The sequence below is a fragment of the Homo sapiens genome, chromosome 10, assembly GCF_000001405.40.
Source record: "Homo sapiens chromosome 10, GRCh38.p14 Primary Assembly".
Lineage (NCBI taxonomy): Eukaryota > Metazoa > Chordata > Mammalia > Primates > Hominidae > Homo > Homo sapiens.
The window spans coordinates 7,112,511-7,130,933 of record NC_000010.11 but is presented as its reverse complement, the minus strand read 5'-3'; the positions used below and the strand labels follow the sequence as shown (position 1 = coordinate 7,130,933).

Here is an 18,423-nt window from a genome sequence, read left to right as displayed (position 1 = left end):
CTTTTGCAAGAACTACCTCAGGAGCATACCAAGAAAGCAGAGAGAATCCACAGACCCCCTGAAGGAACTGGAACGCTGCTGCAGGCTCCCTGAGATGCCGAACTACTGTGAGTCTGCTTGCTTTCTCAATAGGCTTGTGGTCTGGGGCGAGTTCTCAGTCCTGGCCACCAGATGCCTGGAAATAGACTTGGTGCCGTTGGGGGGATGCGGTGGCAGTGAGACCGGCCTTTAGGACTGTGGGCTGCGTGGGAGTGGGGTGAGACCTGTGACTGCTGGCTTTCCCCCACTTCCCTCATGACCTGTATGACTCAGCAGAGGCAGCCATAATTCTTCAGGGAATATTACTCCATTGGACTAGGAACCACACCCCCAATCACTAACAGCAGCCCCAGAAAGCCCTGCCCGAGGAGAGGGTGAGCTCAAACACACCTATCCCTGCCCCCACCTGGTGGTCTTTCTCTACCTGCTCTGGTAGCCAAAGACAAAGGTCATAATTTCTTGGGAGCTCTATGGCCCTGCCCACTGCCAGAGAAACCTGAATACTTAACCAGGTGTCTTGAGGGCAAGTTTGCATTTTCCCTAAAGGACCGCAACTGATGCTCTCTTGAAAGCGCTCCCTCCTGGCTGGAGGCCAACCAACACAAAACCAGCGCACTAAACAAAAACCAACCAAGGACCCTCACAGAGCCCACTTCACTCCCCTGCTACCTCTGCCAGAGTAGGTGCTAGTATTGACAGCAGCAAGACCTGAAGACAAATCACATCACAGGACTCTTTGCCGACACTCCCCAGTTCCAGCCTGGAGCCTGGTAGCTCTGCTGGGTGGCTAGACCCGGAAGGGCAAAAACAATCACTACAGTTCAGGTTTCAGGAATCCCCATCCCTAGGGGAAGGGGAGAGAGCACCACATCAAGGGAGCACCTCGTGGGACGAAAGAATCTGAACAGCAGCCCTTGAATCCCAGATCTTCCCTCTGACATAATCTACCCAAATTAGAAGGAACCAGAAAAACAGTTATGGTAATATGACAAAACAAGTTTCTTTAATTCCTCCAAAAGATCATACCAGCTCACCAGCAATAGATCCAAACCAAGGTGTAGTCTCTAAATTGCCAGAAAAATAATTCAGAAGGTTATTAAGCTAATCAAGGAGGCACCAGAGAAAAGTGAAGTCCAATTTAAATAAATCAAAAACATGATACAGGATATGAAAGGGATATTCTTCAGTGAAATAGATAGCATAAATAAAAAACAATCGCAACTTCTGGAAATCAAGGACACACTTAGAGAAATGCAAAATGCACTGGGAAGTCTCAGCAATAGAATCAAACAAGCAAAAGAAAGAACTTCAGAGCTCGAAGACAAGGCTTTCAAATTAAACCCAATCCATCAAAGACAAAGCAAAAAGAATTAAAAAAAAAATGAGCAAAGCCTCCAGGAAGTTTGGTACTATGTTAAACGTCCAAACCTAAGAAAAATTGGTGTTGCTGAGGAAGAAAAATCTAAAAATTTGGAAAACATATTTGAGGGAACAATTGAGGAAAACTTCCCCAGCCTTGCTAGAAATCTAGACATCCAAATAGAAGAAGTTCAAAGAACACCTGGGAAATTCATCACAAAAAGATCATCAACTAGGCACATAGTCATCAGGTTATCTAAAGTCAAGACAAAGGAAAGAATCTTAAGAGCTGTGAGGCAAAAGCAGATAACTTACAAAGGAAAACCTACCAGATTAACAGCAGATTTCTCAGCAGAAACTCTGCAAGCTAGGAGGGATTGGGGTCCTATTTTTAGCCTTCTTAAACAAAAAAATTGATTAGCCAAGAATTCTGTATACAGTGAAACTAAACTTCATAAATGAAGGACAGATACTTATTTTCCAGACAAACAAATGCTGAGAGAATCCACCACCACCAAGCCAGCACTACAAGAATTGCTAAAAGAAACATGAAATCTTGAAACAAATCCTTGAAATATACCAAAATAGAACCTACTTAAAGCATAAATCTCACAGGACCTATATAACAATAACACAATGAAAAAATACAAGGTATTTAGGCAACAAATAGCATGACGAATAGAATAGCACCTCACATCTCCATACTAATATCAAATGTAAATGGCCTAAATCCTCCACTTAAAAGATACAGAATGGCAGAATGGATAAGAATTCACCAACCAAGTTTCTGCTGTCTTCAGGAGACTCACGTCACACATAAAGACTCACATAAACTTATGGTAAAGGGGTGGAAAAAGATATTCCATGCAAATGGACACAAAGGTGACCAGGAGTAGTTATTCTTATATCAGACAAAACAAACTTTAATGCAACAGCAGGAATAAAAGACAAAGAGGGACACTATAATGATAAAAGGACTAGTCCAACAGGAAAATATCACAATTCTAAATATATATGCATCTAACACTGGAGCTCCCAAATTTATAAAACAATTAACCTGCTAGACCTGAGAAATGAGACAGATGGCAACACAATCATAGTGGGGGACTTTAATACTCCACTGACAGTACTAAACAGATCATCAAGACAGAAAGTCAACAAAGAAACAATGGACTTAAACTATACCCTACAACAAATGGACCTAACATATATTTATAGAACATTCTACCCAACAGCAGAATATACATTTTCCAAAACATTTGGAAACATTTTCCAAAGTAGCATATGATAGGCCACAAAACAAGTCTTAATAAATTTAAGAAAATCAAAATTATATTAAGTAGTCTCTGAGAACACAGTGGAATGAAATTGGAAATAAACTCCAAAAAGAACCCTCAAAACCATGAAAACACATGGAAATTAAGTAACCTGCTCCTGAATGATCACTGGGTCAATAGCGAAATCAAGATTGTAATTAGGCTGGGTGTGATGGCTCACACCTGTAACTCCAGCACTTTGGGAGACCAAGTTGAGTGGATCACCTGAAGTCAGGAGTTTGAGACCAGCCTAGCCAACATGGTGAAACTTGTCTTTACTAAAAAATACAAAAAAATTATCCAGGCGTGGTGGTGCATGCCTTCAGTCCCAGCTACTGGGGAAGCTGAGGCAGGAGGATCATTTGACCCAGGAGGCAGATGTTGCAGTGAATTGAGACTGTGCCACTGCACTTCAGCCTGGGCGACAGAGAGACTCTGTCTCAAAAAAAAAAAAAAAAAAAGAAATTAAAAAATTATTTGAGCTGAACAATAATAGCAACAAAACCTATCAAAACCTATTTTTATTTTTTATTTTTTGTACAGACGGGGTCTCACCATGTTGCCCAGGCTGGTCTTGATTCCTGGTCTCAAACGATCCTCCTGACTCAGTGACCCAAAGTGCTGAGATGACAGCCACAAGCTACTGCACCCACCCCCAATCTCTGGATAATACTTAATGTACAAATGTCCATTTGATCTGCATGGCCAACGGCCACGTGGCATGATGGTCTCTGAGCTATCTATTGTTCCTAAGGGAAGAGCTGGAGTTCTACCTGGCCCCATCCCTTCTCTACTTGCTTTCTGAAAATTGGGGTATGAATCAGTTTATTCGTGCCTAGGTAAGTAGTTTTTAGCACATTTTGTCCTCTTAAATAGTAGATCTTTAACAGGCTTTGTGAAAAGATAAAGGGTGACCGTGAACATCTTTTCTCCGACACCGAAGTTTGCTGCTCATTTTGTGGCAGTGTTAGGAGATTTGTGAATGGGGAGTTGAGTTGCACATTTTTTTTTTCTTTTGCAAAAGTCAAGAGCTCCAAATTGTTGACCTTTCCTGTGATGAAAAGTGGCTGTCAGAGTGTGCTGCCTAGCAGTAATAAATGCATTTAATCTACCCTTTTAGGTAAATATAACTTAACAGTGTGGGGAAAAATAATGACTTTTTGTAAGAATCTCATGCTATAAACAGAACATTTTGAAAATGAATCTTGGGAAAGGTTTCTATCCTGTGGCTTTTTTGAAGAAAATGGTTTAAGTGAATTGCTTATAGAAACTTTCATGTTTTCACACTTAACTTGGAAACCAATTTCCAGCCAGTTTGAAAAATTTAAGCAAAAGACTGTCAGAAGTTCCAAACCCATTTGTCAAAAATATTAAAATGCAGCACCTTCTGATTAGTAAATAAAAACAATTCATTGGCATCTGGGAAGAGGGAACCGCATTAGCTGAATTTCAACAAACATTTGTATGCTGAATGGAGGGGACTAAAAACTAAGATTTGGCACAATCAAAGCTTATCTGTCTTTGCCTAGATTACAACAGCCACTAAATCCACGTAGGGCAATAGTCTAAATTATATTAGACACAGATCCATAAACTGCTAAATCACAAGGGATTTAACCAATTTTTTAAAATGATGTATAATCAATTCCATTATGCTCCCTAAAATATTAGTCATAATCCCTTTTAGTAAGAGTACAATTTCGTACCTGCAACAAATAATTCAGTATTAAAATTTTAGCTCATCACTTTCAAATTTCCATCTGTATATATTTTGTAACACACATGGGATATTTGCATATAAATACAGGTAGTTGCATGGGATAATATGCATATGATATACATGGCACTATTACTGCAAGTATATACATGTACTTTACAAGTAATTTGTATATGCGTGTATGTATAATTTACAAATGAAATATATACATACTTTGGGAGTACATGCTAAAAACCACTTTTTTTCTAAGTTTCAAGACTAGTGGTATAGAGGAAAGAATATTTACGCTAGAGTCAGGAGACCCAAGTCCTACTCAAAGTCCTGCTGTGAAGACACAGTGCCTTATACAAGTTAGATAAGAGAATTTCAGAACTGAAGAGCCGAGAAGCATTGTTGCCTTACAGATTTTCTATGAGGATTGGGGGAGATATGATTCTGCCTGTTGATTGCCCGGCATTTAGCAAAGTAGACTCTCAGTAACTGGTGGTGTCTATGAGACATTAGAGATCACCTGGCCCATTGTTTAATGTTCTAGCTGAGGAAACAGAGGCAAGAAAAGAGAATGAAGTTTCTCCCTGTATTAGAATGTGTCACAGAAGAGCCACCGCTAAACTCCACTTGGGAGCTCTTTTGAGATCTCATATTAGTTTTGACTATAACTTCTGATGATTAATTCCTTATAACAGCATTTCCTCAGGATTTCTCCAAGTGTCACCCTCAAGTATAAGGCGGAGGAAAGCTTTGCAATCTGTACACAAACTGATTATCTGTGTAAGTCACTCTAGGCTCAACGCTTTTCATGCTAAATTGTCTACAGGTTGCCATTTTCTTGATTTTAATGTCTTCTTTCCAATGTCTTTGATTCCCTATGTCAGGAGCATTCTAGAAAGAACAGAAGAGTAAAGGGTGGGACCCTACAAGTTCTATCAGGCTGCAGACCATACCAGAAGCTAGGAAGAGAGTGACGTGTATGCTGACTGATTGGGAAGATCCTAAAGGGTAAGGTTGGTGTAAATCAGTGATGCTGGACTTTTTCAGAGGTCTTTCGTAACTCTGAGAATTTGATGAAATATATGGATCTTGTCTCTAGAAAATGTGTATATGAATGTGTATATGATATTTTACATAGGATTCCAGGGGATCACACAGTCCCTGGAGCACACCCACTGACCTCATGCTCTTCAAGGTCTACCTCTGACTGTACATTTATGAATACTCAGGGGAGGACATTCTGTACATAATGTCTGAGTATTCACACCATCATTCCAGCATGGTGTGTCTCTACCTGTTCCCTCCTTTAATTGGGTTTGGTGGCATTTGTAATGCACATGGGATATTTGCATATAAATACAGGTGGTTGCATGGGATAACATACGTATAACATACATGGGACTGATACTGCAGGTATACACATATACTTTACAAGTAACTTGTATATGTGTGTATGTATAACTTACAAATAAAATATATCCATACTTTGAGAGCACGTGCTGAAAACCACTTATTTTCTACTTTGATCAGTAAATCCCACCACCTGGGCAAAGTGTTTGAAAGTATATAGTGCTCACATAGACATTTTTACTGTTTCATTTCTCTTTTCTCCAATTTGGATCATTATTCCTTTAAAATGCTTCCCTTTCAAAGCTGGCTGTTTGACTTCTTTTCCAAATTTGGTATAATTGAAGCAAGCAATATCACTTCAGACTGCACCTGTTCTGGAAGATGTGTGATATGAATCCTTTTTTGTAATGAATGGAAGGGATTTAATGTGGATTGCTTGCTCATGGTGCACCACATGCTGCACTGAGGCTTTTGTTGAATCCTATCATTACTTCTTATCAAGTTATCACTAGGTTCAATTTTACTGCTTTTATTTTAGAGATGAAGAAATTAAAGCTCAGAGAATGTAGGTAATTAAGGAATGAATTAGGTACACAGACTCCTAGGTGACAGTCCTAGCATTAAACCCTGTCAATGTGGGACATCAAACACATTACTGAACCTTCTCCTTGAGTTTCCCATCTGTAAATTCTGCAAAGGTGTCTGCTGCTACTGACTCTTGTATATTTACTCAGATGAGTGATTATAGAGGGGAGGTTTTGACTGTGGTGATGCCATCTGTTTCCCTGACATGGATCTAAGTTTTGCTCATCAGTCAACAAAGTCTTTCTCCAGTCCCTTTCCCTCGACTGAGGTTTTGGGTGTGATGAACTTCATGATAGTGGACATTTGTAGCCCCGAGGAAGTATAGCTCAAACTAGCCCTCAAAGCAAGTCATGGGAAAGCCATTCTCATTCTGAATCCAAAGAAAGAAAGAAATGTGAAAAACCCATTCAAGAACGGTCTGCTAGTTTATTTGGAAACTTCAGATGGCTGTGTAGTCTGTCTGGGGAGCTGTCAGCTAACGGAATAAAACCCTCAAAATTGCTCTATCACTGGCCGACAAAGCTGAGTGAACATATGATGGTTTGAACAGGAAGCGTGTCTTGATTCCAAACGGTTGCTTGTGAGCATTAGTCATTTTTCATTATTAATGCAAATAAACATTATGTGTATGTGTATGCATTTATTTCTCAGCTGATGGCAAGACTGAAGCTTGGGATTAGAAACTGCGAGTTGATGTAAATTCTCAAGACTTCTGTACACAATGGGGGTAGTGTATTGATTGTGATGGGGCTGGTTAATGATGATGACTAGCAGAGATTCTCTTAAAGGGAACTTTTTAATAGCACTTGTGTATTACAAACCCATGAAAGTCATCTAGAAAACCTGCTGCAAAGTGGTAACCAGTGGAACACAATCTGACACAGCAAACAAATTCAAGTGTGTGCCATTGTCAAATGGCACCATTTTGAGACATATAAATGACAGGGCAATTAATGTCTTGGAACAGCCGCTTTGTAAGATTAAGGGAAGTGATTGCCTTACCCTACAAATAGATAAATTCATGGAAGGGTCCAGGTGTTGGTATTTGGAAGAAAGAATGAAAATATGTTTCTGTTTAACTCTCTAATCTTTATCAGGTGGAATCATGGGTCGTAGCAGGGGTGTGTTTGGAGTAGGGGAGAATTTGAAGCCTATTTTAGATTAGACTTCACAAAATTTCCAATATCAAACTGGTAGCACGTATCTTTTTTACTCTATTCTCATGGAGTCGATTGGCTCCTAGAAAGAACAGCAGGTGTGTGACTCAATTACAAAAATTCCCTCTTCACAGGGCACTGTTTTATATACATTGTGATCCAACTCTGAAAAAAAGGGATTGAAGTTCCATCAAGTAATTGATGAAACCATCTACATTTCTGCCTCTTTCAAATGATCTTTTACATTCTCCCTTCTTTCTAAAGTTATGTGAGGAGTACAGCCTTATCCCAGAAGCACATATATTTCTTCTCAATGGCTCAGTAATTATGTTGAGGAAGTATCAATACTGCCCGACAAAATGTCTCCATCAGATGCCATTACTAGAGTCCACTTTTAGTAATTAATTCATCACTACTTACGAGGTTGGCTGACCTAGAAGGTAATATTTTCCCCATCTAGGAAAGTAAATATTGTTGAATGACTTAAAATCTTTCAACAGCTTCCCAGGTATGTAGGAAATGGCCAAGAGCCTTGGCCCATAAAGCTTCCCCAACACCATTTCCCACCACTTGTTCACTTTACTCCCATGATCCTGCCTTTTCTTTTCCAGTGCCCTGAATGAATCAACCTCTCCCTGCCACAGGACCTTTGCACACGCAATTCTCTGCCTTCTTGGCTTCCTTTGCATAGTTAATTCTTATACATCCTTTAGATCTTAGTTCAAAGGACACTTTTCTGGAGAAGTCTTCTTTGATGCTATTTCCCTGCCCACCGAGACCAGATGAAATTCTTCCGTGATGCATCCTCATGATCCAGTGTTACTTTCTTTTAATGTACTTACCTTATAGGTTTAACAAGTTGATTGTTTGCATAAGACTGTAAGCTACATAAGAGGAGGGACTGTGGTAGTACATACAGTGGCTTAATAAATGTATTTTTAAAGGACTGAATGAATAAAAGACTTGACCAAGAGTCAGCAGGGGCCTCCGTCATTGGTATTTTCTCTCTGCCATCAGAATAGTTAAGTCTCAGATGTAGCTGCTCTTCCAGCTGGCTCCTGGAATCGAGAACGCACAGAGCAGAGCTGGATCGTCAGATCCATGGCACACAGCATGAGTGAGGATAACCCTCTGTGACTGCAGGCCACCAGGGTTTGGGGTTGCTTGTCACTGTGGTGCAACTTAACATAAGACGACTGGTAAACTCTACCGCCAATGCAGTGGAACAGAAAGAACCTGAGTTTTTAAATCAGACAGACCTACATTCCAGTCTTTTGTTTTGTTTTGTTTTTTTCTTGAGACGGAGTCTCGCTCTCTTGTCCAGGCTGGAGTGCAATGGCGTGATCTCAGCTCACTGCAACCTCTGCCTCCCAGATTCAAGCAATTCTTCTGCTTCAGCCTTTTGAGTAGCTGGGATTACAGGGGCCCACCACAACGACTGGCTAATTTTTGTATTTTTTTAGTAGAGATGGGGTTTCATCTGGCTAATTTTTGTATTTTTTTAGTAGAGACAGGGTTTCATCATGTTGGACCAGGCTGGTCTCAAACTCCTGATCTCAGGTGATCTGCCCGCCTGGGCCTCCCAAAGTGCTGGGATTACAGGCGTGAGCCACTGTGCCTGGTCACATTCTTTTTTTGGCATCAAGAATATCCTTATAAAAAGAAAATTCCTTCACATCTAGGAATCTCGGTGTCTACACATGTAAAATGAGGGTTAGCATGTCAACCTTGCAGGGTCGTTGTGGGGACTAGTGATGAAGTAGTATCATACTTGTTGCAGAGCAGGCCCTCAATTATGGTACTCTAATTATATTATTGTTAATGTTACATTTTTGTCGTTGTTGAAATGCCACCTATATCCCCAAGGCTATGACATTAATTGTGTCATACAGGTTTGTTTGTCTTGGTATCTCAAACAGAACAAATCAAAACTCCTAGTAAACTTCCCTGAAGAGCTCAGTAGACTTCATTTCCCATTAGGGAGCATCGAAGGTCACTGCGCATTGCTGCCCTCTAGAGGTGTCGGGTGAGAAGACCCCCATCCCCCCATAAAGATCAGAGAAGCAATAGATTTCTGATCTGAGCAGCTGTTGCCACAGGAACGACGGAAGCTGTTATAAATATAACAGTGATAAAAGCTGCTGTTTATTGAGTGCTCGTCATGTACCAGGTGCTATGCATAACTTATTGCATCTTCACAACATTACGAATCAGGGTCTACTGTATACTAATTTCACAGTTCAGAAAAGGGAGGTGCAGAAGCATTAAATCACTTGCCCAAGAAGATGCAACTATTATGGGGAGAACCTGAACTCAAACCTAGGGCTGGCTGACTCTAAGAAGCCCACTCTTGGACGGACGTGGTGGCTCACACTTGTAATCCCAGCAGGCCAAGGTGGGCGGATCATGAGGTCAGGAGTTCGAGACCAGCCTGGCCAACACAGTGAAACCCTGTCTCTACTAAAAATACAAAAATTAGCTGGGCGTGGTGGCGGGCACCTGTAGTCCCAGCTACTCGGGAGGCTGAGGCAGGAGAATCACTTGAACCCGGGAGGCGGAGGTTGCAGTGAGCGGAGATCGCATTACTGCACTCCAGCCTGGGCGACAGAGCGAGACTCCGTCTCAAACAACAACAACAAAACAAAACAAAACAAAACAAAACCCACTCTTAACCATCACACGATATTGGCTCTCACAGGCATGTCTGTAAGTCTGCAAAATCTGCTAGAAAGATATTGCCAACCAAAAATAAAAAAAAAACAACGTTGTTTGCTCCTACCCTGTTCCTTCCCTTTATGAGCAAATAATTCTTCTAAAAGCCAATGGGGATTCTATGTTGCAGAAACAAACATACAAAAAACCATATTCCTTGATCCTAACAGAAAAGAATAATAAAGCAGACTCTTTCTTGGCCCAGGTTGAAGAGTGAGTGTGTAAGGTCCCATCTTTCCTCATGGCCAGCATGGCTGCTCCTGTAATTATTTTGAAAGAGAAATCATCAGGCTTAGGTAGCGGTTGCAAGAATGAGCCTGAGGTGAGGTTGCCCGTTGGCCATTCTGTTACTATAATGATTTCAGCACTTATGAAAGAGACTAATGACTGAAATTGCTATCAACATTTGCAGCCAAAAGACTACATGTTGGAAATTGGATTTTCCTCTCTTCTTGCTAATGAGCTTTTCTCTCAAGGTGCTGATGCCTGGAGTGTACAGGAAGATTGGCAATTCTCTTTCTGTGTTTTACACGCCCGAATACCTGTACTGAAATTCAAGCAACACCTTTGTGATAGGGGATGGTTATATGAAACCATAAAAATATTGTTAGAGTAAGTGGCTCAGCTGGGCACACCTAAAAAACGTAAGAAGTGGAATCTTTAACTGGACAAATTACAAAATGTTTTCAAGTGGGTGTATGTATGTCAGGTTGTTCCAGTGCTGCAGTCGCTATGACCAGAAATAAAAGAGTTCTTTTTGTTTGTTCCTTTCGTGGCCTTGACGACGTTCTCGGGAGAAGCAGCTCAATAGTCAATATCAGATGGTTCTAGAAGAGTTGCTTCATAAGTACCACTGCTGTGATCTTTTCTGTAGGTTCCCATGACAATGCTATAGGGGCTTTGTTTGTTCATGGGAACTTGAGGAACACAGGGAATTCTTGTTCAATAATGAACGCAATGCGGCTTGGAAAAGACTCTTGGTAGACACGAACAAAAAAGTATAGCCAGAGCAGCCTTCAGAAATCATTCCTGCAGTTTTTGGAAGCGTTTCTCAAGGTCTGAATGGAGGCTGTGAAGGTGAGTCATGAATCGTAACAGCATTTCAACATGCTGATTCCTTGCTACTAACAAAGCGTGTGATAAGAATTTGGTGAGTCTTGTTGGCCAGTCTCCTCCAACTTTAGAGCTGCTCAGCTGGAGGGCTCCTGGGTAATCCACCCCACCCTATCGGCCTGGCAATTTGCTTGAAGGTGATAAGGTATACTGGTGACAACATTGATAAAGTTCTTCACCAGAAATTTTCCAAACTCAACCGAAATAAATATAGGCTGCTTTTCAGAAAAGATAGCGTCTGATAATCCAGGTGTTACAAATGATGGTGAAAAGTGGCAGTTTTCACAGTAGACATCTGGGGGTGGGAACGGGGATGTAAAACACGAAGAGCCATTTTCAGATCCACAGCAGCAGAGACTGCCATGATCAGCGTCCTGCTAAATCAGTGTGGATTCCTAATTAAATCTTCTTGACTTCCATGATGATAGCTAGGTTTCTTCATCAACTTGGGTTTGGCAGATCCTTCCTGCTGAAGCTCTCGCAGGGCCTTCCAGTACCCCCTGACATTTATGACCAAGTCTACCTCTCATTCCTCAGTGGGGTTTTCAGTTTACCTATATGTGCTAATGTAGTCTACACAAAGTTGGCCTTGAAGAAATAAAAGAACCCTAGCTATTTTGAAAAGTGAATTTATGGGCCAGGCACGGTGGCTCACGCCTGTAATCCCAGCACTTTGGGAGGCTGAGGCAGGCAGATCACCTGAAGTCAGGAGTTTGAGACCAGCCTGACCAACATGGAGAAACCCTGTCTCTACTAAAAAAATACAAAATTAGCCGGGCGTGGTGGCGTGCACCTGTAATCCCAGCTACTCAGGAGGCTGAGGCAGGAGAATCACTTGAACCTGGGAGGCAGAGGTTGCGGTGAGCCGAGATTATGCCATTGCACTCCAGCCTGGGCAACAAGAGCAAAACTCCATCTCAAAACAAAAAAAAAAAAAAAGAAAGAAAAGTCTAGGAACCTCTGGCTGTGGCTGTCACCAAGCCCTCTGCAGACAGGAGGCCGGGAGAGGTGAAGAACAGCAATCAGGGTGGCAATGAAAGCCATGAGTGCAAACAGAGCGCTCACCCTGGAGAGCCTCCTGCTCTGTGCCGGGCACTATTCCCAGTGCTTTGTACAGACTCGCTCATTCAATCCCTGCAAAAATCCTCTGAGGGGAGCACTTAAGAGCCTCTCATTTTCCAAAAGAAGAAACTGAAGGATAGATCTCTAGAACCCTGAAGTTCCTGTGTTCTCATTAACAATTCTATGACCTACTTTAGTTTTGAATGTAATTCCACAGCAGATGGCTGGAACGTGGTCTGGGGGATTAAGCGAGGTAAGAATGTTCTCTACTTCTTACTCACCGCTGGGTTCTCCTCTGAGAAGCTTTCGATGGCCGGCCCTGGCTATTATTGACTGCGCTTGCTTTTCACTCAGATCTTATTCCACTCAATTTAGGCTGCAGAGGCTGTACATATTCTTTGAAAATCACTCTCTGTCATCTCCATGCTAACACCCAAGCGACACAGTCTGCACAAAGATTCATCTGGTGAGCCTGAGGATTTGTACGTATTGTGTTGACGCTGAAAAACGGGGCCCTTTCATTTCCTTCTCCATCCTACTTACTTATTGTGAGTAGATTTCCCAGTGTGAAAATTCGTTTCAATATTTATTCCGTGCTCGAAGCTTTACTATTGTGTTCTGAAAGTTGAAGAGTGTACTTCTCCTTCTCTTCCCTTGTAGGTGAGCATGGAGCTCAGCCTCCCCACACATCAGTGAAAAGAAATCCCCCCAAACATACATTTTAAAAGAAACCCTTGAAATATGTTTAGAATAATATTAAACCTTAGCAAAAACTTTATCTATAAATGTTTATGTCATGGTGTGTTTTTCTCTTGACAAACTGTTACTAGTGTTTTTGTCATGTCTGAGAATTGGCATTGAGGACACTTCTTGTTCTTTCCAAAATGCAGTAAAGTTCACCACCTCTCCAAGAACAATGGGTGACCTAGAAAGCTGGGAATTCTGTTGCAGTGGGCCACCCCTTCTGAAATGATTATGATAGCAAGTTTTCGTTATTGTTTTATTCAAAATAAATCTCTGGCTTGAGTTATACCCTGTTGCCTTGTACTAGGCAGGTAAGACAAAAAAGATGCAAATCTGTCTGTTCACAAGAGGTTGGCCCCAGTAGTTAAATTTAAGGCACTGATGGTGTTCGATGCAAGACTGTTTCTTGGTCTATATATTTTCATGTGATTGTGAGTAATTCATTTACTGTTAAATGCTTAGTGCTCCATGCTCTTTTCAGGGATAGTTCAACACGGACACACATTATGACGACCATATGTTCTGAATTGTCTGAGTCACGTTTATTTAAAATGCTTTGTTCCATTGTTTCAGAAGTAATGTGAACTTCAGAAAGCACTTGATCTGATTTTGGGGTCTGAAAATATAGAAATCATAATCAATAACCCAGAAAAGTATATACTGTTTCCCATTTAAAAAGAGGAATTTCAGGTTAAAGATGATTCTGTTCTTACTTGTGTATGCCCCTTGACTGATGATCATTCCTTGCCCTGATTGAGGATTTATGGTGGTTAATAGTTATAAGCACTTCGACCATCCTTAGCTTTTTTGATTCTTGCAACATCCCTAGGAGATTGTTCCTATTGTTTCTCATGCTTTGCAGGTGAGAACATGCAGCTTGGAGAGATGTTGAGTCTCTTGTGCAAGGTTATAGAGGTCAGCAGTGGTTAAACCTTGATATGAATTTCAGAACCCTTGATCCTTTTTTTTGTTTTGTTTAGAATTGGGGGTCTCGCTCTGTCACCCAGGCTGGAGTGCAGTGACATGGTAATAGTTCACTGCAGGCTTGAACTCCTAGACTTAAGCAAATCTACCTCGGCCTCCCGAGTTGCTGGGATTATAGGTGTGAGCCACCATAGTTGGCACAGCTCTTGATCTTAACTGTTTCACTGAACTGTATTTCTACAAGAATGCAGATAATTTAACATCTCTTTTATTGTCTTCAATTCCCAAATTTAAGAGGTCATTTTCTCCTTCTTGTCTTCAAATCAGATCTTTCTCCTCCTGGAAACTACCATCTGGTCAATGTGGCAAAGGCCTTGCCTTGCAGCCCTGCAGTCTCTTGCCCATCTGTGTGGCTCCTTGTTTGGTTCCATTTCCCCCTATCTAGGGGTGTCTTTCCATGCTGGGTCTGACATATGGAGAATAAGAGACTTAAGTAGGCTGGTTTGTGTTGACAGAGTTGTGTGGCTGTGATGGAGCACCTCACTGTGCAGGTTCCTTTCTTTAAAAAAAAAAAAAAAAAAAAAAACTTTTATTAGGGTCTTGCTCTGTTACCCAGACTAAAGTGAATGCAATCACAGCCTCAAACTCAGGCATAAGTGACCCTCCCACCTTAAGTCCCCTAAGTAGCTGGGACGACAGGCATGAACCACATGCCCAGCTATTTTTTTTTTTTCATTTTTTGTAGAGACAGGCTGGTCTCCTGGGCTCAAGTAATCCTCCTGCCTCAGCGTTCCAAGTAACTGGGACCACAGGCGTGTGCCACCATCCCCAGCTAATTTTTAAAAACATTTTCATAGAGACAGAGTCTTGCTATGTTGCCCAGGCTGATCTCGAACTCCTGGGCTCAAGAGATCCTGCATCCTCAGCCCCACAAATTGCTGGGAGTACAGACATGACCCATTGTGTCCCACTGCTGTGCAGGTTTCAATTCAGCCTTCTTATAAGAGAAAAAAGGATGATGGACCTTGCAAACACATGCTCCCCTGCTAGGACTTAGGAGCAGAAGTTTCTGTGGGATGGTCTGAAAAAGACACTGCAAACCCGCGGCAGACTTTTCTTCCACCATCCGTTGCTGCTGTGACGTTCTTCGGAGTGAGTGGTGCTGGCTAAGTGCTGGTGTCATTCTCTGAGGACACATCTCAGGTCCCTTCAGGAAAAGCAGATGTGTACACAAATCTATTCAGAGTGGTTATTTAAAATTACTGTTACTAGTTGCAGATTCTCTTCTTTGTAAGCCCAAGGTGGCAATTGATGTTGCTGAGTGCTGGGTTTTAGATCAGCTCTGCCCTCAGAGCCAAGTTTCCCAAAGTATCTAATTGCAAAAATGGATATCACATTCTGCATCTAGGGATGCCCCAATTCTGCTGGAAAATGCTTGTATCCTAGAAGATTCCCAAGTTCCCTTTGAGAAGAGCTATGTCCATTGCACTTAAGTTAAATAAGAACCCAAATCACTCCGCAAGCAGGGGAGAAAGAGAGAGGATGATGGGGCTCAAAGGAACCTCAGGCAATAACTCACCCAACCCTTGCATTTTCCAAATAAAGAAACTGAGCTCAGATATTATCAACGACTTGCCCATAGCTCAAAAACACACCTATGGCAGAGAGAGGTCTGGAGTCCAGATAATCTACCTCCTAGGCCAATAGCAACTCTCACCTCCCCACTGGCCACCAGAGAATGGAGCATTATGGGGAGGATTCATCTCTTCATTTATTCATTCATTCACTCACTCACTCATTTGTTTTCTATACCATGGGCTGACCCAAATCATGAAATCTAGAAAACTTTGAGTCTTTATTCTCCATCACCCCACATGTCCTGTCGCTAAACGTTGACAATTCTATTTCCTAAACATCTCTCCCTATGGATCGATTGCTGCCTATCATCCCTGCCATTATCTTATTTGAGGATCTGATTACCTTCGAACCAGGCTTTTAATAGCCTACTCTAACAATGACATTTGCCCCATTCAATTATGTAATAAAGTGCTTCCAGAGGTGACTCTGTGCTACATGAGCACTGATCACTGGGGGCCCACAGTGAGCCAGGCATGGGTCCTATACCAAGATGCATGGGGTCCAGAGGGCAGACAGGCACTTTCCATACTGTAGACAAGTGCTTTTTTGGGCAGCCAGCACAGGGTGCCACAGGGGCTCAAGGAAGGGAGACCTTAGCTCATCTTGGATGGTCAGAGGAGCTTCCTCGAGGAGACACCTGAGATGCAGAGGACAAGCAGCACTTAGCAAGATGGGTGGCAGGGAGGAGGGGAAAGGGGGTTCCAGGAGAGAGAAGCCACCTGCAAAAAGGTCAGGAAGTAGGAGAGATGTGGCAGGCACTGCGGGGGAAAACGTGGAATGTGACCCGGAAGAGGTGAGCAAAGCGCCGGAGAAGGAGGCAGGGTTACCACCTCAAAGGTTTTTTAAGGCCATCCACTAAGGAGCAGGTGAGTCTTTCCAAATTCCTCTGCAAGGAAGAATTCAGTACTCTTCTAAGACAGGTGCTGATGTCAAAACCAGAGCTCCCGGAGAATCTGGTGGGATCAGTGCTCGCCTAGCGGCCATTCAGAGCATGTGTCATTACTGCCCAGCAATGTCCAGGCCAAGCGGGCTGGTGAGGGCAGCAGGGGTTTGACCTCATGGGAACATGCCCGCCTTGTTTGTTGTTTGTGGGTGTGCTCCACTGTGCAATCCTGGTGGACCCCGGTAGACAGGTTCACTTAGCCTACTTGGGGAATTGTTTTTATATTAAAGAAAAACTCAAACTTCACTTTTTTGTTAGCATCACTTTCTACACGGCCCAGCTCGAGAGATAACACTGTAATAAACAGTCACCAATGTCTTTCCTGCCTTTGGCCCTGTAGTAATTTGCTCAGGTTGCTGTAATGGAGTACCACGGACTGGGGGCTTCAACAACAGAACTTCATCGTCTCACAGTTCTGGAGGCCAGAAGTCTAAGATCAAAGTGGTTCCTTTTCCAGGCTCTGAGGGAGGATCCATTCCAGGTCTCTCTTCCATGGCTACCATTGTCAGCGGCCACCAGGATCTATTCCAGGAACAGATCACGGTGGCTGCCAGCATCCTGGAAGGTCCTTGGCTTGCAGACGCATCACTTCACTCTCTGCCTTCTTGTTCACATGACATTCTCCCTGTGTGTGCATCAGTGACCAGATTTCCACACACACCCCTGTTTTTTTTTTTTTTTTTTTTTTTTTTTTTTTTTTTTTTGAGACAGAGTCTAGCTCTGTCAGCAGGCTGGAGTGCAGTGGCACGATCTCGGCTCACTACAACCTCTGCCTCCCGGGTTCAAGCAATTCTCTTGCCTCAGCCTCCTGAGTAGCTGTGATTACAGGCATGTGCCACCATGCCCAGCTAATTTTTGTATTTTTAGTAGAGATGGGGTTTCATCATGTTGGCCAGGCTGGTCTGGAACTCCTGACCTCGTGATCCACCCACCTCAGCCCTCCCTAAGTGCTGGGATTACAGGCGTGAGCCACTGCGCCTAGCCAAGTTTCTCCTTTTCATAAGGGCACCAGTCACACTGGATTAGGGCCACGAGTGACCTCATGTAAACCTGATTTCCTCTGTAAAGACTCCATCTCCAAATAAGTTCAACTTTTGAATGGGTCATGACCCCAACATAACTTTTTTGGGGAAGAGGACACAGTTCAACCAAAACATCTCCCATTGCTGCTGTCCTTTCTTTCCCCATGTTCATCCCTTACAGTGGCATCAGGAGAAGCTGGGAGGTGAACAGTCCATGAAAATGAATAAGCATAGAACTGTAAAGGAAATATCTAGGGACACTATAGGCTGGTGGCTTTCAAACTTTCAGCAGTTCTGATTCAAACAAAAAATGTACTGCAATTCCAGCATGTCTAACCATGGGGAGCTTCTGGTTGATGCTGGATGTGGGCTCCAAGGAAAGAGACCATGGCCAGAGCTTTACCTGCTCAGCCTCTCCCACCCCACCAAGGCAGCCTCAAAGTGCCTCTGTGGAAAATAGTATTTAGTGCTTGAATGAAATTTCCTTGCACCCTGAAAAATCCATCCAAGGTCTTGTTCATTTTCTACATCCTTTCGAAATATAGGTGGCCAAGTCAGCCCAGAAAACTCTTGAAAATGGGCAACTTAATTAAATTCAATTTCAATACACACAGAATGAGGGTCAACCATATATGCTAGTATCATAGGAGAGGTGACCTTGTTTCCAAAGCATTTCTTGCTCTTTAGATAGTGGTGCCTGTATTAGTCCGTTCTCACACTGCTATGAAGAAATGCCTGTGACTGGGTAATT

General features: G+C 42.4%; 1 long non-coding RNA gene across 1 annotated transcript in view, besides 1 other annotated feature; it reads left to right on the top strand.

Moving 5' to 3' along the window:
* Positions 133–427: an enhancer, noted in NCBI's record as "tiled region #5095; HepG2 Activating non-DNase unmatched - State 23:Low, and K562 Activating DNase matched - State 8:EnhW". NCBI's record gives its function as "activates a minimal TATA promoter and a strong SV40 promoter by Sharpr-MPRA in HepG2 and K562 cells {active_cell/tissue: HepG2 | K562}" and the evidence as "EXISTENCE:reporter gene assay evidence [ECO:0000049][PMID:27701403]".
* The window catches only part of LOC105376387 (uncharacterized), a 294,200-nt gene continuing 288,241 nt past the window's right edge, over positions 12,465–18,423 (top strand). The window contains exon 1 of the long non-coding RNA NR_188183.1: positions 12,465–12,654. This is a non-coding gene — a long non-coding RNA (uncharacterized LOC105376387). The remainder of the gene's footprint in view (positions 12,655–18,423) is intronic.